Source organism: Homo sapiens, chromosome 3, assembly GCF_000001405.40.
Source record: "Homo sapiens chromosome 3, GRCh38.p14 Primary Assembly".
NCBI classification, from domain to species: domain Eukaryota; kingdom Metazoa; phylum Chordata; class Mammalia; order Primates; family Hominidae; genus Homo; species Homo sapiens.
Window position 1 is genome coordinate 178,587,165 of NC_000003.12, and position 23,021 is coordinate 178,610,185.

At 38.9% G+C, this 23,021-nt stretch overlaps 1 protein-coding gene and 1 long non-coding RNA gene across 6 annotated transcripts in view, besides 1 other annotated feature; one reads left to right on the forward strand and one right to left on the reverse strand.

Moving 5' to 3' along the window:
• The window catches only part of KCNMB2-AS1 (KCNMB2 antisense RNA 1), a 334,939-nt gene that overhangs the window by 61,698 nt on the left and 250,220 nt on the right, over nucleotides 1-23,021 (reverse strand). The gene's annotated exons all lie outside the window — the stretch shown is intronic.
• KCNMB2 (potassium calcium-activated channel subfamily M regulatory beta subunit 2) overlaps nucleotides 1-23,021 on the forward strand; it is a 307,994-nt gene that overhangs the window by 50,729 nt on the left and 234,244 nt on the right. The gene's annotated exons all lie outside the window — the stretch shown is intronic.
• Nucleotides 16,901-16,980: an enhancer, noted in NCBI's record as "active region_20853". NCBI's record gives its function as "activates an Ori minimal core promoter by ATAC-STARR-seq in GM12878 lymphoblastoid cells {active_cell/tissue: GM12878}" and the evidence as "EXISTENCE:reporter gene assay evidence [ECO:0000049][PMID:35858748]".

Genomic DNA, 23,021 nt, shown 5'->3' on the forward strand with positions numbered 1-23,021 from the left:
CTTTTGTTATTAAATGGCTCCTAACTTCTTCAGCTTTTATACTACATTTTCCAATCTACTAGGAAAAATCTTTTTAAGATATCTTCATTTATTCATTTTTACTAGATAATCCCTAATAAATTTTCCAGCAGAAATGGATTATCCCAGGCTGACCTAAGGCCTGGGAAGTGTTGGGAAACAGAGGGTGGAAGAAGGACCCCTAGAGTCCAAGGACCTTTGTCCCCCAATAAACAGAACTCAGGAGATTATCTTTTCCAGTAATTTTTTCTTTTTTTTGAGACAGGGTTTCCCTCTTGTTGCCCAGGCTGGAGTGCAATGGTGCCATCTTGGCTCACTGCAACCTCCGCCTCCCGGGTTCAAGTGATTCTCCTGCCTCAGCCTCCAGGGTAGTTGGCATTACAGGCATGTGCCGCCACACCCGGCTAATTTTTTGGGTGGTTTTTTTTTTTTTTTGTATTTTTAGTAGAGATGGGGTTTCACCATGTTGGTCAGGCTGGTCTCAAACTCATGATCTCAGGTGATCCGCCCACCTCGGCCTCCCAAAGTGCTGGGATTACAGGCGTGAGCCAGTAATCTTTTTTTTTTTTTTATACGTTAAGTTTTAGGGCACATGTGCACAACGTGCAGGTTTGTTACATATGTATACATGTACCATGTTGGTGTGCTGCACCCATTAACTCATCATTTAACATTAGGTATATCTCCTAATGCTATCCCTCCCCCCCTCCCCCCACCCCACAACAGGCCCCGGTGTGTGATGTTCCCCTTCCTGTGTCCATGTGTTCTCACTGTTCAATTCCCACCTATGAGTGAGAACATGCGGTGTTTGGTTTTCTGTCCTTGCGACAGTCTGCTAAGAATGATGGTTTCCGGCTTCATCCATGTCCCTACAAAGGACATGAACTCATCATTTTTTATGGCTGCATAGTAATCTTTTTATCAGAGGCTCTTTCTGACCTACTAAGAGATGGCAGGTAACAGAGCACCTGTACAACATCAGGCACCTTGTCAAGGACTTCATTAACCAGATGGACCCTGCCTTTAAGAAGCTCATAGTCTATCAGAGAGAGGTCCCATGCAAAAAAAAGGCCTCATTCCAATCAGAGGTTAAAAGCTCTGTCACCATTACCTGAGGTGGAAGCAAAAGAGTCCTATTAGTGTATAATTCATTCAACTAGTGGGAGATTAACAATTTTCAGGGAACTTTAAGCAGGGAGATGGTAGAAAGTAATTAAAACTCTGCCTTAAGAGAGTGTTAGCAAGCCTCAAATGAAATCTTCTTCATTTACTTCTCACCTGTGTCGTGTCTATATATTCCTCTACAGAAGCAAGTTTCTCATTGTAGAAAGGTGATCTCTGTTGATATAATGCTACTTATCAAATGTTTCTCATGTACCAGACACACACATACATGCATATATGTGTGTGGGTATATATATAATTTTTAATTTAATTTTTATCTATATTCATAATATCATATGTATATATGAGTGGATATCACATATTGTATATAAACATGTATACATATACGTGTATTCCTGACAGCCACTCTGGGAGGTAGCTATTACGACTTCCGTTTGAAGACACTGAACCCAGCTACCCAGCATCATTACACCACTTACAAAACCTTGGGCAATTACCACAGTACTCTAAGCCTCAGGCTCCTCATGAAGAAAATAAGAGGGGCCATTCAAAGGACTATTGTAAGTAATTTATGAGATAATGGATATGAAACAAGGAGCAAGGACCTGTCGCAGAGAAAGTGCTCAACAGCTAATGACTGTTCAGGTCACACAGCTATTAAGTGGTTTAACAGAGCCTATGTGAATGAACTGATACCCTTCAGGCTTAACTCAAACACTAAATACTTAGTAGGGTTGCTTTTTTAAACCATCTTCTATGGCCTTAAAAAAGACTCTTCACTAAATAGAAGGGCAGGTTTATCTAAATAGAAAATTACCTAAAACATACAATCCTTATCAAATAAATGTAATGGGTTTTTACCCCAGCGTTCTAACAGCTCAGCTTCCCCCTTCCAAGCCCTCCAATTAGAAAACACAAGGCTTGCAGAGCCCAAATTTCTGGCAGAAACACTAGGTGCATTGTAAAATCACTGAATTTTGTTAGCACGTTTGGTTCTGCCTGAGCTCACGTGCAAATACCACAGCCTGTGCTAATTCAATGAGATCTGTCTCCACACCCCACTTCCTAATTCCCAATTATGGTGTCTCAGAAATAACCAGCAGATCACAGGGACTCACACCATGGTTTTGGTTTTTTCCTTGGGGGGAGGGGGAGGTTGTGTTTTTTTTGTTGTTGTTTGTTTGTTTTTGAGATAAGGTCTTGATCTTTCACCCAAGCTATAATGCAGTAGTGCAATCATAGCCCACTGTACCCTCGAACTCCTGGGCTGAAGCAATCCTCCAGCCTCAGCCTCCCAAGTAGCTAGGACTACAAGTGTGTGCCACCACACCTGACAAATTTTAAAATATTTTTGTAGAAACCAGGCCCTTGCTGTGTTGCCTACGCTGGTCTCAAACTCCTTGACAATAGATTTATTTCAGCCTGATCCCATCCAGGGTTCCCTCACATTTGAAAAGAGATTGTGTGAGGCCATTTGGAAGGGTAGTGACCTGTCCTAGACAAAGTTTTAAAACTTTGGACGCAGAGTAATTAACCATTCAATAAATACTTGTGGGTTAATTCACTGAAGTGGCAAGACCAGGTAAAAGTGAGATCTCAAAACTCTCTTTTGCAATCCCCTAAAGAAAGTCGTAACATTTTAAATTGTTCACCCTGAGCTGGGAATTTTCTTTTAACATCCTACTGTGTAAGACGAAATCAAGTCAGATCTATATCCATAACAATACACTTAAAATTACTGGCCCAGAAGTATGACAGTGAGAGGTAAGGTTTGGTATGAGACTAAAATGTTATTCCATTGAGATTTGGGAAGGTTTAACCAGAAAAATTGCATCTAACCATTTTTATTCATCTTCTTCCTCTTATCCTCCTTCCTTCTCTCTCTTATTTAGTGCTGGAAGGTCATAGTGACAAATATTCATTGAGAAAAAAGGAGGGAGAACGGGTTTTTGCAAAAAGATTGGGTAGAACAATTTTATCTGTACATTTTTTATCCATTTTTCTCCCCTTCATATACACACTATTCCTCTCAAAAATTGAACCTCATCTTAGTTGACATTGGATTTAGAGGAAAAAAAAGAGAGCCTTTCAACATTTTCAAATTTCAAAAATTTTTACTTTTTGTTTTGTATTTATGACTTTAGTTTCTGTCATAATGTAACATATAACATAATTGCATTAACTTTTTTAAAAAATTAAGGGAAAAAATCACTCATTGTCCTACCACTTGGAAATAATAATAGCTGACATTTATTGGGCACTTTGTATATTCCAGATACTTCTCCAAGAGCTGTATGCATTATCTTGTTTAATCCTCATCAATGCTACAAAGTAGGCACTACTAGTATCTCTTATCTGTGGTTGAAATTAATGCACAGAACAGTTAAGTAACTTGCCTTGAGCCATACAGCTTGTAGTTGGAGAAAACACTATTCAAACTAAGAGTACATCATGACTGGTCATGACTGAGTGTATCATGCCAGTGCCCAGGCCCTCCACAACTCTACTTTTATATAATACTTTAATCACTTTTTAAGGTAGAGTTAGGATCCCACTGCAATTACGATTTTGGTGCAGGACTGGTAAATTCTTTTTCCCCCAAACATTTCCTCCTATTTGAATGAAAGAGAAAGCAAGTCTACTAATTTCATTTCAATGTTTTTTATTATGTTGCATGATCCATGATCCACTAAAAAACAAAGCCCAGATTAGTGACTGAAAGCAAGTTACTTCAGAATTTGGCCCAGGAAACTTGTAAAACAAAATGGTGTAATCTGCAACGGAGAGGAAGCTAATATTTCATAAGCCACATTTTGGTAGGTCTTTATTTAAAGTAATTCTCACCCTCTCATAGTTAGTCCATAGATCTGAGGACTCCAATGGAAAAAAAACCTCAAACATCCCTGTACATAATCAATACTCAATGGTTAAGATTAATAAATACTCATTAGAGGAATCAGCATATACGTGAGTCTGCCAAAAGAAAGAGCTGACTGTTTCACATTCCTTGTCTTTCTTTGCACAGATCACTAGGTTTTCATCGCTTTTCCCTTCTTCGGGGCTCATTCTGTCTTTTTCTAGAACCAAGTGCTCTACACAGTAAGATTCAAAACATGCATAAACGAGGAACTCATGGTTTCCATTTTCTTAAAAACTTCTCTCCTGCTTGTCCCCAAGCCTTCTCAGGAGGAGGGAGCACTCCCCGTCTCTCATTGCTTTAAATCAATCTTCCCCAAAGAAACCCACATTGAAGAAGGGGGTACTCAGCCAGACTGTCACATGACTATAAAGAGGCTATAGATGCCATTGGGACCTCCATTGCTGATGGTGTGTTTTTATAATCTGGCATCTGTATCAAGGAGTGAGAGGCAGCTTGGCCTTCAGAGAATAAGCGCTGGTCCCTAGGCTCCTAAGTTTAACTTGAAGACTCCAGCCCTTCTTGCTATAGTCAAATCCCTTAACGTCTTTGGTCATAGTGCTTTCCTGTGAACCCCTGGGATTCTGATGTAGAATATCAGGTCGGTCAGTCCACAGGTTGAAAAGATCAGGCCCAGCTTTTCCCTACTCCCCTGGCTTCATTGAGAGCAGCTCTGCCTTTATTTTTTTTTAGGGTTCTATATAAAACTTTGTTTGAAAACAGTATTCTGCCACCAATGTTTTTTCTTTTTGGTGAAAATTACTGAATAAGATGATTCCTAGTGTCGGTTTTAGCCCAATGTGAATTTTTATAATAACCCAGTTCAAGTTTGTATCTTTCTATGGGAGGGCAAAAGAGTACTTTCCCTTCATGTCTGTAGCATATATTGCTTTCCATAGGATTTTCTTCTTTGCTATTACTGGCAATATTTATGGATGGTCTGATCTGATTATCTTAATCACACTAGCAGTTGTAAATCATGTTCAGGCTACATAATGTGTGATCTCTCACCCTTAGCCCTCAAACAAAGCATTCCTGAAAGGCATAGTTTGACTGCGTTATTTCAGACTATGGGAATGTAAGAGTGCAGGTGGAACGCGAAGGTAATACAGATGAGCTTCTGCCTCCCACAAGAGAGCAACCACATCTGTTTTCCTAAGCCAGAGGTCCATTGAGGACAAAGACATCATTTAATACTTATGGTTATCTCACACTCTCTTAAGGAATGATGCGTATGTGTAATGCATAAAAATCAGGAGGGCTTGATACACAAATGGCTGAAAAGGGATAATTGTATTTGCAATTATTATGCTATGTTGGACAGCCACAAAGGCTCTATGACAGCCTATGTGTGCTATGTGTGTTTTCCATAAAAAGAGATGTTGATAGAGAAGTAGTATCTGTTAACCTGTAATCTGGGTTATACTATTGTCTTTTTAAAGTTCTGGTAGGTCTATACGTTTTGGTAAACTCCTGGTTTGCGCCTGCTTATTTTGTTTTACGAGAGTCATTCTTAAAGTATGGCACATAGACCATCTACGTTAGCATCACTGCAGTGAGGTATTTTTTTAAAGTGAAGGTTTCTATGGAATCAGAATTTCTGTGAGAAGGGCCCAGTTTGTTAGCATACTCTCTGGAGCTTCTAATGCACACTGAAGTCGTTTTCTTTTTTCGTGTGACTCTTTTGCTTTAACGTGGTCCCAGAAAACACCATTTAATATTCCAAATGTTTTGGCCACTAAAGGTATAAAGTTTGACAAGTTCTTTTACCCCTCAATTTCTTTTTTTAAAAAATAAAGTACGAGCAGAGGGAAGGGGGCTCTGGTGTTGGGGAGTGGGGTGTTGTAGATAATCTCTATGGGTCCTGCCAACTAACATGCCATTCTCGAGTTTTAAGTTAACTTAAGCTTGGAGGCCAGAGCAGTTTATTACCTAGGTACTTTTAGAGCTATTATCAATTATATGGCACATATTCAACCTGGATTAACAGAAACTTTTAAAATATTTATGTATATATTTATGACGTGTAAAATGGAAAATGATACCAGAAATGAAGTACCAGAAATGAAATAAGTGTCTAATAAAATAAGCAAACCAGTAAGAAGTCATATATCACCTGACTCAGTTCCTTCTACAGGGACTAATCAAATGAAATGCATCTTGAAATCCACAATTAAACATGCCAAAGAGTCTAGCCAGAGAATACTGCATCAAAAGACATGATTTGACTTTTATGAGTCCACTTTTTCATTGGATAAGTTAAATTTTGTAAACTGATTTCAAAGTGGTTTTGGAGTCCTTGAGCTGAATTCTCCCCACTACAATCTACTCTGAAAACTAACTGGTGACAAAGTTTTATTCTATTGATTTTGACCGATGCTTATTTTGTTGACCAATAGTTATTTAATGTCCATAATATGGCATGTTCCACTTCCTGGAATGACCTAATCACCTCCCGTCTCTATCTACTACCAATTCCCCGGCCTTAGATTGGGCTTTTGTGTCTCTTTCCCGTGTTGCAATGTCCTTCCAACAGGTCATCCTTCTCCTTTCAATACATCTCCACCTTAGATTCTTAAAATGCAAGTCTGATTATGTCAGCCTTCTACTTGAAACTCTTTATTGGCTACTCTTTACCTATTGTATAAAGTCCAACCTCTTGGCCACGGCATACCAGATCATTCATTACCTGACTAAGCTTTTATCTCTAATCATGTCTGCATGACCCCAGAGGGACTGAAATTCCAAGCAGGCAAGTTCTTTGAGAGCCATCACTTTGAAAATGCTATTTTGTTCTTCTGGTATGCCCTCTTCCCTCCCTCCCTCCTTACCTACCCAAGTGTGCCTGGCATATTTGAGGAATATCAGGAAGACAGCACTGAGGCAAGAGTAAAGTGAGTGAAGGGAAGACTATTAGGAGATTAGGTGGTAGACAGAAAATGAGGCAGATCATGTAGGACCTTATGCTTTGAGTAATATGGAATGTCACTGGAAGGATTCTAGCAAATAATTGGTATGATCTGTTTTGTATTTTAAAGGCTCACTCTGGCTTCCATGGTGAGAATGTCTGTGAGAGTGAGAAGCGTGAGAAGAGCAAAAGCAGAGAGACCAATTACGAAGAAATTACATTAACCTGAGCAAGAAATTAGTGTGGAAGCAGTGAAGATGGTGGGAAGTTGCCAGATTCTGGATGTGTTTTGAAACTAGAAGCAATAGGATTTGCTGGTGAATTGATGTAGGTGTGACAGAATGAAGAAATCAAAGATGACCCCCATGTTTGGGGTCAAAGGAATTGGAAAATTGGAGTAGCCATTTACTGAGATAGAATAGAAAGAGCATGTTTGCAGAGAATAGGAGCAAATTAGAAGTTCAATCCTGGAAATGTTGAATTGAGATGCTTATTAGACACTCAAGTCAGGATGCCTTGTAGACAACTGGATGTTTTAGTCTGGAATTCAAGGGGGAGGCTGCAACTACATAAATTAACTCAGAAGTTGTCAACACATAAGCATTATTTATAAGTGAGTATAGATAAAAAAGAGGAATGTTAACACATAAAAAGCACTAAAAATGTGAAATGAATAAATGAATGAATAATACTGAGATCCCAACTTACACAACAATACTAAAGTTTCATATGAGTATCATTAGAGAGATTTCATTCTTCACCATATTCTCTTATGAAAAATCTGTTTGCAATTCTTCTTTCCAATGACACACTACTAATGAAATTATTTATGAGGCTAATATAGACATGGGCATACAATTATCTGTTTGAATATTGAATTACTAACGTCTTATTATTCCGTGCCTTAGTGGCATATACAGTATTTGCAAAAAAAAAAAAAAAATCAATACATCAATACGATGAGGCTGTCAACTGTTAGATGGCTATCACTGCTAAAAGAGGTATTTCAGCATATTAAAAATTTGTCACATCCTCACATGATGGCTAACAGTTTCCAGTGTGCTTTATCATCCATTATCTCTGTTTGACTTTGAACCTCATGACATCCAAATACTAGGCAGGTCAGTGTTATTATCCGTGATTTAAATTTTGAGAAACTAAGGCTCAGGAGGTGAAGTGATTTACTTGAGCTGATGAATGGGTCATCATGGTTTGAATCCTGGTAGTCCAAGTGACTGCTCCTCTTCAACTTGCCACCTTTCTGAAAAGCCCGAGGTCCTGCTCATCCTTAGCTGCTGATATGGTTTGGCTGTGTCTCCACCCAAATCTTATCTTGAATTGCAGTTCCCATAATCCCCATGTGTTGTGGGAGGGACCAGGTGGTGATAATTGAATCATGGGGGGCAGTTCCCCCATCTTGTTCTCATGGTAGTGAGTTAGTGCTAACGAGATCTGGTTGTTTTTATAAGGGGCTTCCCCATTAGCTGGGCATTCATTCTCCTTCCTGCTGCCATGTGAAAAAGGATGTGTTTGCTTTTCCCTTCCACCATAATTGTAAGTTTCCTGAGGCCTCCCCAGCCATGCTGAGCTGTGAGTCAATTAAACCTCTTTCCTTTATAAATTACCCAGTCTCGGGTATGTCTTTATTAGCAGCATGAGAACGGACTAATAGAGGTGCCAAACCAATGAATGGCGCAGGATGACAAGTAGTATAGGTCTTTTTTACATTTCAGATTGAAGACTAAGGAAATAAATGGTCTTTACTGGGCACCATTCAGTAGGTCAGATGCTCTGTGTGTGGATCTGGGTTTAATCACTAGACACCCTCAGGCAGGGGATCTTGAGCTTTCCGAAGAGGCACTGAAGGGGAGGAGAATGATGACCCCAAGAATGTGTCTGGACTCAGCTTGAGAGGCACCTTCCACTCAACCCCATCACCCACTTAGCTCTTGCCACCTTTGATTTGAGATGTGTTCCCATAGATGCCAACACATTAACATTTTATCTTGCTCTTCAATCTTAATCCCTTAGACGCCTTCCTTTTGTTAACTAAGTTTCTGAGTCCTACTCACACATTCCCATGCATCCAGTTGCAGATGATCTATTTTCAATTTCAATAACCTATCCTCAATAATGATAGTTCAGAATAAGAACATATATCATTGATTTTATACTTTTATATACACTTGGCCTTTGCTCATGTTATCTAAGCTGGACAACAATCATATTAGAAAGGCATTATTTTTCTATTTTAAAAATGAGAGAACTCAGAAAAACTAAAACATTCTTTCCTATGATCACAAAGCTACTAATAATTGGAAGAGTTGGGATATGAACTCAATGAACATATAAATCCAAAGTCTAAGCTTTCCCTAATTACACTACCACCTCCCCTCATCATGACCCTTTGCTACTTTCCATAAGACAATATCAAACATGAGCCAAACTGTAGTCTACTTCATCCTCTGGATGAGATTAATTTGCTTCTTCTTTCTGCCTTAAAAGAGTCAACAAGTTTTTCCATGGTCCTCTCCCATCTTCTAGCCCCACATTCCCACCAACCCCCGCCCCCAACCCAGGAATTGCCAAACCCTGATACAATTAGTGAAGTTCAGGAATGAATGAGATATCTTTACAACAGCCTGATTGAAAGAAACTTCTATGTTTCTAAAAGGCAAGAGATTCAATTTTGTACCAGACACTAAATCTGTCTCTCAAACAGGACCCATAAATCTCCACCAAAACTAAAAGATATACTTTATTGGAGAACCTCTTTCAGTTAATACATCCAATCCATTGTCTGCTTCATATTTAAGGTTTCTATGTGGCATATGGCTGGAGAAGAGAGAACAGGGTGGGTGGAGTTTCCATCCTGAGGTTCAGCCTTCACAGGTGTGCCTGCTGCTCTTCTCCACGCAGATGCCATGCATGCTGAGGAGACTCATAAAAGAACAGGGTTAGTAATGCACAGTCTCGAGCTACCTGACTTAAACAGGCATCATGGGGAGAAATTTAATTCACACCCTGACATTCTTATGCCTCTTTTCTATAATGGGTTTTTATCACATAAAGGAGCTCCTCAGCCAGTTGAAAATCATTGCCTTGTTAATGAATTATGATTGTGGGGCACTCTGGAATGCTATGTTGATTGTGATGTTAATAGGTACAAAGATACACAATGTACAGCTCAATAACCATTACATTAATGTCTAGTTTAAAGTTTATTTCGGATATCATCATTATGAAGGAGAAAGTGACCCATAGGACACAGCCACTGGGAAAAGTAAAGCTCACTTATAAGTGTGCAGGCATGTAAAAGCCACTTGCTTCTCCCTAGCTTCATTCCTCATGAAATGTGCACAACACTGAGTTTGCACAGCTAGGCCCATTGAATAATCAAAGAGAAGGTTTCACTTGGGATAAAATTGGCATGCAAAGCATGAATGGGAACAAAGTCACACTGTCATTTCAATTTACTGACGCAGTGATACAACAAACACATCATTCACCATGAACTGCATTAAGACTCCTGAAGCAGAAATACTGGAGGTGCTCAAGTATCACAATGTCAGTAATTTCACACAAATATACTCAAATGATGTGCTCCTCACCATTCATTTTCCAAACTACCGTGGGTTGTGTTTGGCAAGCTTATAGGCAAGATATTTAGATGGTTATTTTCATCTTTTCCTCTCTGACCGAGTTATGATAGTAAAAAGCCCTGTTGATAATCTCCTTGGCTACAACTTCTTCTTTTGTGTTGGCTCTTAAATATCTCAAAAGTTAAAAAATTGGGGTGGGAGGAAGAAATGGCTGGAAAAGTGAAACATGGAGCCTTAATAAGAACTCAGATTTTTAAACTGTTAGAAAACAGTTTGATGATAAAGAATTCAGGAAAATGCAGGACAAAAAAACAAAACAAAAAAAAAAACAAGAAATACAGACTTCAAGTTTCTAATTAGAGTTTAAAACCAGCCTCAAAACTTGCGACATAAGCTCAGTCAGGTACCTGACCATTTTGCTATAACCCCTCCATCTTAACCTCTAAACTCTCTAAACTGGGGAGTAGTTCCGTATATAAAAGTGTTTGGTGGGATGAGCTTGGGATTTGTAGAGAACTCCAGGTTTGAATCCAGTCAAGAGATAGCGACATAGCGCCACTTTTCTGCGATGCAAATTATAGACAATAAAGGTCTGTAAAGCACTAGAGAATACGAATTGTTATATAGAGATAGAGTGACCAGATTTCTTAGCAAGCTAATAGGTATTCTGCTTATTTATTTATTTGTTCACTCATTCACTCATTCATTTATGTACTCATTCTGGTAAGGAAACTTTTCCCAGTAATTCACATCAATAATGAACCAAACAGAGAGATATTTGTTTTTTAGAAAGAAAGCTATGATTACAGTAGAGTTTATTCATTGGTTAGAAGAAAGGGGGAAGGAGGGACAAAGGAAAGAAGGAACCAGCATGGAACTGGTGATGTTTGAGCTGTGTTGTCAAGATGGACTCTCAGGGGTTATAACAAAAAAGGCCAGATGCAGGGGGAGCAACCTGAGCAAGCAGGAAAGGGTTAGAGTGCTCACGTGACCAGGGACCTCATTTGGTCCATGTGTGGGGCCATGTTGAAGTTAAGCATGACTGGGGAAAGATCAAATCTTGAAGCTCTTATGTGTCATATTAAGAGGTGTATGCACTCTCCTCTAAGTCAGTCGTTCTTCATTCTTGCTGCACACTACACTTCGGGAGTTTTTGAAATATACTCAGAACCCAACCCAAAATATTTGATTTATTTGGTTTGGGGATAGACTCGAGGTTGGAATTTTCAGTGCTACTCACAGATAGCTAGGGATCACCACCATGCTACAGAGATGGAGTTATGCAGAGGATGTTTAAGCAAAGATATGTCAAGGTCAGTTTCGTGTTTTACAAAGACAAGTCCAGCAGATGTGTGGAGAGTGGATCGAGAAAGGTGAAAACCAAGTAGAAGATTAACATAGTGTATTATAGCAGTGATTTTCAAACTGTGGTTCACCAAAGCTCTAAGGTTTTATGGAGTTTCTGCAAAGGTTGTAAAACACTTGCTTTCAATTTGCTTTTTAAAATATTTGCTTAATTACTATTAAAAAGAATAATTGACAAAAATTCAATGTGATATAGATCAAATTTTAATACATCAGGGATGGCTGAATTTATGTTTCCAATTTAATTCAATAAAGATGCTCCTGAAATCTTAACTGATGAATAGCTTGGAATTATATGGCAAGCTACTAAAAAAGCAGGAAAAAGAAAAAGTCATCAGGCTACAGAATTTTTTAAAAGTATGTGCTATCAAAACAATACACATTAAATGTTGATGACAAATCGCAACACACAATTCCAGATTTCAGGTGTTTTGTGTTCTGCACACTCATCCTTACACATGACTTTTTTTTACCTTGTGCATTTACTTTCTTTAAAAAAGTGGTAATATACACATAAAATGTTATTTTTATGTGTATTCATTATTCATTTTATGCATACAGTTCAATAGTATTAAGCACATTCACATTGTCGTGCAACTAATTTCCAAAACCTTTTCCTCTTACAAAACTGAAACTTCATACCCATGAAACACACAACTCGTTTCCCTCTCCTCTGCCAGCCCCTGGGAACCACCATTCTACTTTTCTCTTTCTATGAATTTGACTAATCTAGATACCTCATACAAGACATATTCTGCAGTATTTCTCTTTTGGTGACTAGCCTTTTTATTGAGATGGAGTCTCACTCTTTCACCCAGCCCAGGCTGGAGTCAAGTGGCATGATCTTGGCTCACTACAATCTCCACTTCCTGGGTTTAAACGATTCTCCTGCCTCAGCCTCCCAAGTAGCTGGGATTACAGGTGTGTGCCACCATGCCCAGCTAATTTTTGTATTTTTAGTAGAGAAGGGGTTTCATCATGTTGGCCAGGTTGGTCTTGAACTCCTGACCTCAAGTGATCCACCCACCTCGGCCTCCCAAAGTGCTAGGATTACAGGTATGAGCCACTGGGCCCAGTTGTGACTAGCTTATTTTATTTAGCATAATGTCCTCAAGATTTATTCATGTTGTATCAAATGTCAGAATTTTCTTCCTTTTTAAGGCTGAATATTCCATTGTGTATATATATGCCACATTTTGTTTATTCATTTGTCCATCAACAAGCATTTGGGTTGCTTTCATGTCTTGGCTATTTTGAATAATGCTGCTACGAACATGCGTGTGCAAATATCTCTTTAAGACCCTTCAATTACCTTGAATAGATAACCAGAAGTAGAATTGCTGGATCATACAATAACTCTGTTTTTAATTTTTTAAGGAATACATTGACTTTTAATAAGTAAAAGCTATACATTGGAAAATAAATGTATCCACATAAAAAGCAGCTTTATCTATTTTATAAAACAGAATTCTACATAAGCACTTGATTCATAAAGGGTAGGGAGGGATCTGCTGCTTTGGAGAGACAGGAAAGGGAGGATGGGGACTTCAGGACAGAGATGGTAGGAATGAAGGGCAAGGGCAGACATCTCTCAGAGAGGTTAATGAGGTGATTTTGTTGGTTCCAAGTCTTTGCTAGTGTGAATAGTGCTGCAATAAACATGCGTGCATGTGTCTTTATAGTAGAATGATTTATAACCCTTTGGGTATATACCCAGTAATGAGATTGCTGGGTCAAATGGTATTTCTAGTTCTAGATCCTTGAGGAATCACCACACTGCCTTCCACAATGGTTGAACTAATTTACACTCCAACAGTGTAAAAGCATTCCTATTTCTCCATATCCTGTCCAGCATCAATGATAGACTAGATAAAGAAAATGTGGAACATATACACCACGGAATACTATGCAGCCATATAAAAGGATGAGTTCATGTCCTTTGCAGGGACATGGATGAAGCTAGAAACCATCATTTTCAGCAAACTAACACAGAAACAGAAAACCAGACACCGCATGTTCTCACTCAAATGTGGGAGTTGAACAATGAGAACATATGGGCACAGTGAGGGAAACATTACATATGGGGGCCTGTCAGGGGGTTGGGGGGGAAGGGGAGGGATAGCATTAGGACAAATACCTAATGCAGATGACAGGTTGATGGGTGCAGCAAACCACCATGGCACATGTATACCTATGCAATAAACCTGCACGCTCTGCACATGTACCCCAGAACTTAAGTATAATAAAAATAAATAAATAAATAAAAATTTTAAAAATGAAGGTGATTTTGTTAAGGTCTTTAGAACCTCCCCACAACTACCACTGGTCTTTTTAATGAATGTGGCCCCGTGAGGGGTTTTTCAGTTGTACGAAAATAACACAAACCTCTTTGGATAGCATAATCTTGAGGTCAGTGAATATCCCTGTCCACAGCTGACTCAGAAAGAACACTTCTACAAGAAGTATAGAAAAATTAAACATTGCATTACTTTCCTGGCCTTTCCTCAGGAGGGGCCCTCCTTTTGAGTCACAGGGTAAAGGAAGTGTACAGAAAAGTTCCTCATTCTATTTTACCTAGAGGCCTTGGTGGCTTCTCGGATATTCTTAAAGTTACACCACCGCCAATAAATTCTGCATTGTGCTTTGAAAAAGCAGATTACCTAAGATTTCCATGTTAGTACACAGGGTTTCTATCAGAAAGAGTTGAAAACTAACAGTGGCACTCTCAGGCAATTAGCTGGGGCCACAAAGGAACAAAGGCAACAGAAGAAAAGCCATTATGCAAATACCTGGCCAGGAATTGTCTGACCATTTTGAGGAGCCTTGGCAAAGAATTGGAAGAGAGCAGGTAAATTAAAGGGTTTTCTGCCAGACTGAATTATTAGATCTCTCTATAATTAATAACAGGCTTCTGCATGATTTTTCCTCAACAGGTTTATTGACTGCCTTGACATGATAGAGGAGAGAGGTATAAGAAGGATAGATCCAGGATAATACCCTAATATCACCACTCAGATGACTTAGCTGGTATGGCAGAGACCTGGAATATAGGGGAAAGTATGACTTTGGAGAATTAGAAGAGATTGCCAATCTAGGGTAACTATCTCGCCAATCTAGGGTAACTAACTATCTCCTATGCCTATAGAGCAGCATGAACCCAGAGGGATATAGGGCAGAAACCAGAATCATTCATCCCCCTCCCCACAAAAAAATATATATATCGATTTTTTTTGGTGATTTACCTACTATATGCCTGAATAATTCTGATTTAGTTAATAGCTTCAGTGAAATAAAGCTTTAGGAAATAGAATAAACACGGTCCAAATCCTCAGAGAGTTCCTAGAAAATGTGACAGACAAGGAATCAGCAATTACAATAAAGGGGGTCAATAAAAAAATAGCCATTACTGCAGAGTCCTGTGGGACACTTAGGACAAGCCCTACTACAGCTCTGGGTACTGGGAGGTTCGGGGGTGGGGGGGAGGAGTGATATGTAAGCAAAGCCAGAGGGACAAGGAGGAGCCAGCCAGGTGGAAAGGAAGAATGGGAGCAGCAGCAGGTACGAGGGTCCTGCAGCTGGAGAGAGGAGGCAGGGTGAGTAAAGGACTGTAGCTTAGTAGGACAAGTATGAAGTGAGTGGGTTGACGTTGGTGAGGTTCTCATATTTTACAAACACCAAAGCCATCGGGAGGGTAGGACAGACAGCTGAGCCTACCCCCAGCGTTTCTGATGTTATAGTGCTGGTGAATTTGCAATTTGAACAAGTTCCCAGATGACACAGATGCAGCTGGTCTGGGGACCACATACTGAGAACCACTAATGTAGAGAATATATTGGAGTTAGAGATTGGACGGGGTGGGAAGCACATCTTCCAAAACAGGTGGCCATTATAGTAAGAGATAGTGACAGCCTGGATGAGTAACGTGGGAGAGGTGATGGACTGTGATCAAGGTGTAGAACTGAGAGTTCTCAGTGACTAATTGGATATGGCAGGTGATGAGGTCTTTGAAGTGTGTAGTCAGAAGGATTATGTTACTCCCTGGGGCAGGGAAAAAATGAGGAAGAGATGGGACAGAAAAATGGCATTTGGGTCCTGAGGGTGGTGCTTATAAGTCTCATAAGTAGAATGTAATAATCAAGTGTAAGTTATTTCAAATGTATATATCAGATTTACACAAAGCAGGTAGTTAAATATATGTTATTAAGGAGCTAAAAGAAATAGAAAAATGGACAGAGACACAGGTCAGGGATCTGGGAAGGTATGGAGATAGAGATTAAAGCTGTAGAAATAGCCCAGAGAGAACATGTAGATAAAAAGAGAAGCCCTAGAACAAATTTTTGAAAAAAGAAATGGGTCATTTGAGAAATGGGCAAAGGAAGGAAGGAAGAAATGGGCAAAGGAAGGAAAAAAGGAAGACCCAAAAGGTCAGGAGAGGCAATCAGAAGTGCTCAAGAAATGAACAGAATAGAAGAGAACATTTCCAGGAGGAGATGATGCTCTACAACTGCAGAGAGGACCAACAAGAGAGGGTCACAGACATCCATTGTCTTCAGGAACATGGGAGAGTTGAGACCATAGGGAGAGCATGTTAGTTGAATGATAAGCAGGGTAACCAGATGCAGTACTGACGTGATGATACTGTATTCTAGGCAGTGGAGGGTCTGTTGGGAATTGGAAATTCTACTGCTTATTCTCAAGTTTAAGCACCTTCATTCTGTGTTCAGGGACATTTGAAAATTTCATGTCTAGGGGAAAGCAACCATGAAGGCTGGTAAGTGAAACTGACATTGCACATATACTGGTCTAAAAGGAAGAGTATCAGTGACACAGTTCAAAGCCCTGGAGCAAGAGTTCTCACACTGAGGAGACACAGAACCACCCCAAGGCAACTGTGGCAGCCGTTTCCCAGAGACACAGCAGGCTACCCCAACATGGCTCTGCTCACCTCTTTCTCTAAAGGGCATCCTGTTTCTGATCTTAGTCTTTCATCACCTCATACTCAGTGTGTCCTCATTCCCTGCCCACCTCCCCCCAGTACTCTCACCCCTTTGGAACAAAGCAGATGGGAATGCTGTTCCTTGCTAAATAAGCACTGTTTGCAGGTGAGAAAGGAAATTAAACCACAGAACTGACATGCAACTGGAGTGGAGTGAGTTATATGAAGTCCTGATGGACAAAGTCAGATATGATCAAGAGAAATTACAAAATTAATTCCAAAATATGGAAAATAATGCTACAAACAAAGTTTCACAGAGTAAAATTCAATACAAAAAACATGCTGAAAGAAGCAATTGAAGTGGTTTAAAAAAAAAAAAAAGCACACAGTGTAACCCAGAACCATGAATATTTTATAGCATGCAGCCAACAGCATTTCAAAATGTCTGAAATCCACATCATTTTCTCCTCATAACCTAAAATTACCCTATGGTTTTAGTGCAAACATTCAAGTCTGATTTTAAATGGTTTATGAATATTTTTAAATGAACTAAAGAAATATAAATGGAATTTACAAGTTTGGAATTACAAGATTTGGTTTTTAAAATTATGAAAATCCAGAAAAATCTCATTTTCACCAATACCTGCTAGCACTTCCCTTGCCAAATCATTCATCTGATTTATTAGTGACTAATGATACTCATTCTGAAGTTACTTGCCTTGTATGAGAAAGCATAGAATCTGGTCCTGCTGCTGGCTAACTTATTTGACACAAAGTAAATCATTTAAATCAATCAGTTTCCCAGTAAGTAAAATTATTCAATTTGATTAGGCAATCTGTAAGTTCCTGGCTAGCCTAAGAATTCTGAAAACATGACACATTATACTCATAACTGTGATATAATAGCTTATGACCAACAGAATCATAAAACTGATGAAAGCTTAGACAATATTCAATTTGCCCCATTTGTTTTACTGATCTATAAAAAGAAGTCCCCAAAGATTTATGTCTGGCCTAAGGTCAAGTAGTTTTTTTAGGACCTGCTACAGACTGAATGTTTGTGTTCCCCTAAAATTCATATTTTGAAATATTATGGTATTAGGAAGCAAGACCTTTGGTTGGTGATTAGGTTGTGAGGACCAAGACCTCATGAATGGGATTAAAGCCCTTATAAAAGAGCTCTGAAGAGCTCTCTCACCCTCTTTCATCACATGAGGACACAACCAGAAGATGACCAGACACTAAATCTATCAGTGCTTTGATCTAGGACTTCCCAGCCTCTAAAGCTGTGGAGAAATAAATTTCTGTTGTTTATAAAAGCTACTTAGTCTGTGGAATTCTCTTATAGCAGCCCAAACTGACTAAGACAGAAAATTGGTCCCAAGAAGTGAACGTGCTGCTGTAACAAATACCTTAAAACGTATCTTAAAACAGGATAAAGGGTGGAGGCTGAAAGAGTTTGTATGTACATGCTAGGAAAAGTTTGCATTTCCATGAATAGACCTTTAAAGGTGATTCTGGTACAGGCTCAGAAAGAAAAGCAGCATAGAAAGCCTCAGTCTTCCTATGGAATAGCTAAGTATCATGAACAGAATATTGGTAGACATATAAACAGCAAAAGTCAGACAGAAATGAGGAATATTTTATTGGAAACTGGAGGAAAGGTGATCTTTTTTATAAAGTGGCAAATAATTTGGCTGAATAGTGTTTATGTTCTAGTGCTTTGTGGAAGATAGAACTTGCAAGCTTTGATATTTAGCTGAAATAATTCCCAAGCAAAGTGTTAAAAGTACAGCTTGGTGCCCCCTGGCTTCTTACAGTAAAATCTAAGAGGGAAAATGACATAACAATAGAATTGTTAGGCAAAAAGGATCTAAACTTAAAGATTTGGAAAATTTGCAGCCATCCATATTGCAAAAATTGAGAAAAAATGTTTGGAACACTAAGGGTGTGGCCTAGTGACCATTTGATAAGATTTGTGTGGGCATAAACTGTAGATTTAATCAGCCACCCCAGAAGGAATACCACCAGTTTGAACTGAAGGGGAAGGAGATAGGAAGGAATGAAGGGAGGCTGTCAGACTTCTTACGTCTTATAGGACAGGACCAATCTTATAGATACGTTTTATAGTATAGGACCTATTCAGCTGCAAATGTGCACTATTGAAGACAAGGGAAGAAGAACCCCAAAAGCAATTCAAATATCATCAGAGATGCCTCTTCAGTTACAAAAAGTGGAGCCATTGCCTGAGTTTCAACTGGTTAGACAGGTTCTGCCCAAAGCTGTGGGTCCATAGAGAGGTACCTCCCCAACTAGTGGACCTAGAGGGCAGAGCCACAAGCCAAAGAGGATTATTCTGCAGCTGTAAGACCTCATGAAGTTTCCCTTGTAGCCTGGACTTATTTTGAATGTGTTATGCCTTTCTTCTTTCCTATTTCTTTTTTTTTTTTTTTTGTGGAAATTTCTTTCCTTTGTCTGAGCCATCTTTGAATTTTGGAAGTACATAATTTGTTTGGTTTCACAAGCTCACAGCTGGAGAGCAATTTGTCTCTGGATGAATCATACCTTGAGTCTCACCCATCTCTGGGGCTATGATGATCCCTTTAATGTATTTTGCATGTAAGAAGGACATGATTTGGGGGTGGGGGCAGAAGCTGAATAATATAGATTGAATGTTTGCATCCCCCCCACCAAATTCATAAGTTAAAATCCTCATCCCTAATATGATGGTATTAAGAGGTAAGGGGCTTTGGTAGGAGAGTAAGTCACAAGGGCAGAGCCCTTACAAATGGGATTTGAGCTATAGAGAAAGCTTCAATCTCGGGAAATACAAGATGAGATACCAGAAAGCTCTCTCTCCCCTTCCATCATGTGAAGACACAGCAAAAAGACAGCCATCTATGAACCAATAAGTAGTCCCTCACTAGACATTGAATCTGCCAGCACTTTGATCTAGGACTTCCCAGCCTTCAGAACTGTGAGAAATAAATTTCTGCTGTTTATAAGCAACCCAGCTTATGGTAGTTTATTATAGCAGCCTGAATAGACTAAAACAGGACCAGGTCCAAGGTCAGATTTAGGACGAGTGTTATTTCCACTGGAGCATATTCCTCTTAAAGAGAGGTTAAGACAACACAAAGAACTGAATATAGAAACTTAATGGTGATTCGGGTGTAAAAAACATCGGGGCAGGTATACAGTGCAGTGGCAAAGGGTTAGATCTCCTAGAAGAAAGATATTTTGACGGAGCCCTAAAGATTCTGAAACATGTGGAAAGGCTAAGTTGATAATAAATTAAGAAATCAAAAGACAGGCAGGATTGTGGATGGAGTATGTCAGTGGTCATTTAAAATCCATGTTTTTGTTTTTAAAATGCCTGCAAACCTCTTCAAACCTCTGATTACAACAACCTGTTAACTTCTTGTTCTAGACTGCCCAGATTTCAGGACTACAGAGTTGTGTTTCTCAGTCTCTGTAATGTAGGCATTGTATCTTATCTGAGAGTTTATATACAGGATTGCCAAGGTAGTGATCAAAGTAAATGCAATTGTCAATTTAATTAGCATTAGTCCCTCCAAATTCATTGTGCATGCGTGTGTGTGTGTGTGTGTGTGTGTATGTGTGCATAAACACATACAAGTTTGTGTTTCAGGTTTGCTAACTGGCTTATTAGCAAATACTAAAGACAAAGCTTTAAGAAAGCATTCATAATTTCTTGGGTCAGCTACTGAGTATCTAACATAAGTAATTTCCTTCTATGCTCTGTTATCTTGTTAATACAGTCATTTAAAATGAGATTTTCTTTATAGGTTTTAATGAAAAGAACAGATCAATTTTTATGGGATCCATGTTCCTACTCAGCTAGCAAGAATGAACACCATTTCTCTAGTAGTTCTAAGATTCTTCCTTAAGTAAAATTTTAATGTTTAGGAGACACAGAGCACACAAAGGGAGTAAAAGAGCTTAAAAATGTGAGTTTATATTTTGAATCATCCTAAACAAGCACAGAAATATACATGAGAGGAAGTAAAATTATAGTCACAGGATAGAGAGACTTTGAAAGAGGTAAGAGCAAAATAGACAAAATCAGAAAATTAAATTCAAACTTCTAAAGTAAAGCAACAGACACTATGAATGCTTTGGAGAAAAACTGGACTTTGTGGGATTTTTAACCCATGAAGGAAAGTAAACAAGGATGCAAGAGCATTTTATAATTTTACCCATAGGCTGGCAATAATCATTTATTCCTGCAGGACATGGAGTTAAAATTGAAGTGCTCAAATTGGCTCTGAATTCTCTCATTAAAACTGTCCTAAAATATACATAGGGTTGATTGTATTTTTAATTTATCCTTTTTTTAATTTTTGTGGGTACATAGTAGGTGCATATATTTATTGAGTACATGAGATGTTTTGATAGAGGCATGCAGCATGAAATAAGCACAATAATAGAGAATGGGCTATCCATCCATCAAAGTATTTATCCATTGAGTTACAAACAATCCAATTACACTCTATTTTAAAATGTACAATTAAGTTATCATTGACAATAATCACCCTATTGTGCTATTGAATAGTAGGTCTTATTTATTCTTTCTATTTTTTGTACCTATTTCCACTGCCCCCTCAGCCCCCAACTACCCTTCCCAGCTCCTGGGAACCACTCTTCTACTCTCTGGGTCCATGAGTTCAATTGTTCTGATTTTTAGATCCCACAAATAAGTGAGAATATGCAGTTTGTCTTTCTGTGCCTCCAGTTCTATGTTGCTACAAATGACTGTATCGCATCCTTTTTTATGGTTAAATAGTACTCCATTGTGTACGTATACCACATTTTTCTTTACCTGTTTATCTGTTGATGGACACTTAGGTTGCTTCCAAATCTTAGCTATTGTAAACCATGCTGCGACAAACACAGGAGTGCAACTATCTCTTCAATATACTGATTTCCTTTCTTTTGGGTACATGCCCAGCAGTGGGATTGCTGGATCGTATGGCAGCTCAATTTTCAGTTTTTTTGAGGAACCTCCAAATTGTTCCCCATACTGTTTTTACTAATTTACATTCCCACAAACAATGTACAACAGTTCCCTTTTCTCCACATCCTCGCCAGCATTTGTTATTGCCTGTTTTTTGGCTACAAACCATTTTAACTGTGGTGACATGATATGTCATTATAGTTTTGCATTTCTCTGATGATCAGTGATGTTGAGCACCTTTACATATTCCTGTTTGCCCTTTTTTATGACTTCTTTTGAGAAATGTCTATTCAAATCTTGTGCCCATTTTTTGATAAGTTTATTAGATTTTTTCCTATAGAGTCGTTTGAGCTCCTTATGTATTCTGATTATTAATCCCTTGTCTGAGGTGTTTTTTTTTCCCATTCTGTCAGTTGTCTCTTCACTTTGTTGATTACAACCCTTGCTGTGCAGAAGCTTTTTAATTTGATGTGATCCGATTTGTCCATTTTTTACTTTGGTTGCCTGTGCTTGTAGGGTATTGTTCAAGAAACCTTTGCCCAGATAAATGTCCTGGAAATTTTCTCCAATGTTTACTTGTAGTCATTTCATAGTGTGAGATCTTAGATATAAGTCTTTAGTCTATTTCGATTTTTTTTTTTTTGGCAGATTGTCCCTCTGTCATCCAGCTTGGAGTGCAGTGGTGCCATCTTGGCTCACTGCAACCTCTGCCTCCCAGGCTCAAGCAGTCCTCCCACCTCACCCCCATGAGTATCTGGGACTACAGGCATGCACCACCATGCCCAGCTAATTTTCATATTTTTTGGTAGAGACTGAGTTTTGCCACGTTGCTCAGGCTGGTTTCAAGCTCCTGGGATCAAGCAATCCACATACCTTGGCCTCCCAAAGTGCTGGGATTACAGGTGTGAGTCACCATGCCCAGCCTGGTTTGATTTTTCTGTATGGTAAGAGACAAAGTTCTAGTTTCAATCTTCTGCATGTGAATATCCAGTTTTCTAGCACCATTTATTGAAGAGACTATCTTTTTTCCAGTGTATATTCTTTACACCTTTGTCAAAAATGAGTTCACTGTAGGTGTGTGGATTTGTTTCTGGGTTCTCTATGTTGTTCCATTGGTCTATGTGTCTGTTTTTATGCCAGTACCATGCTGTTTTGTTTACTGTAGCTCTGTA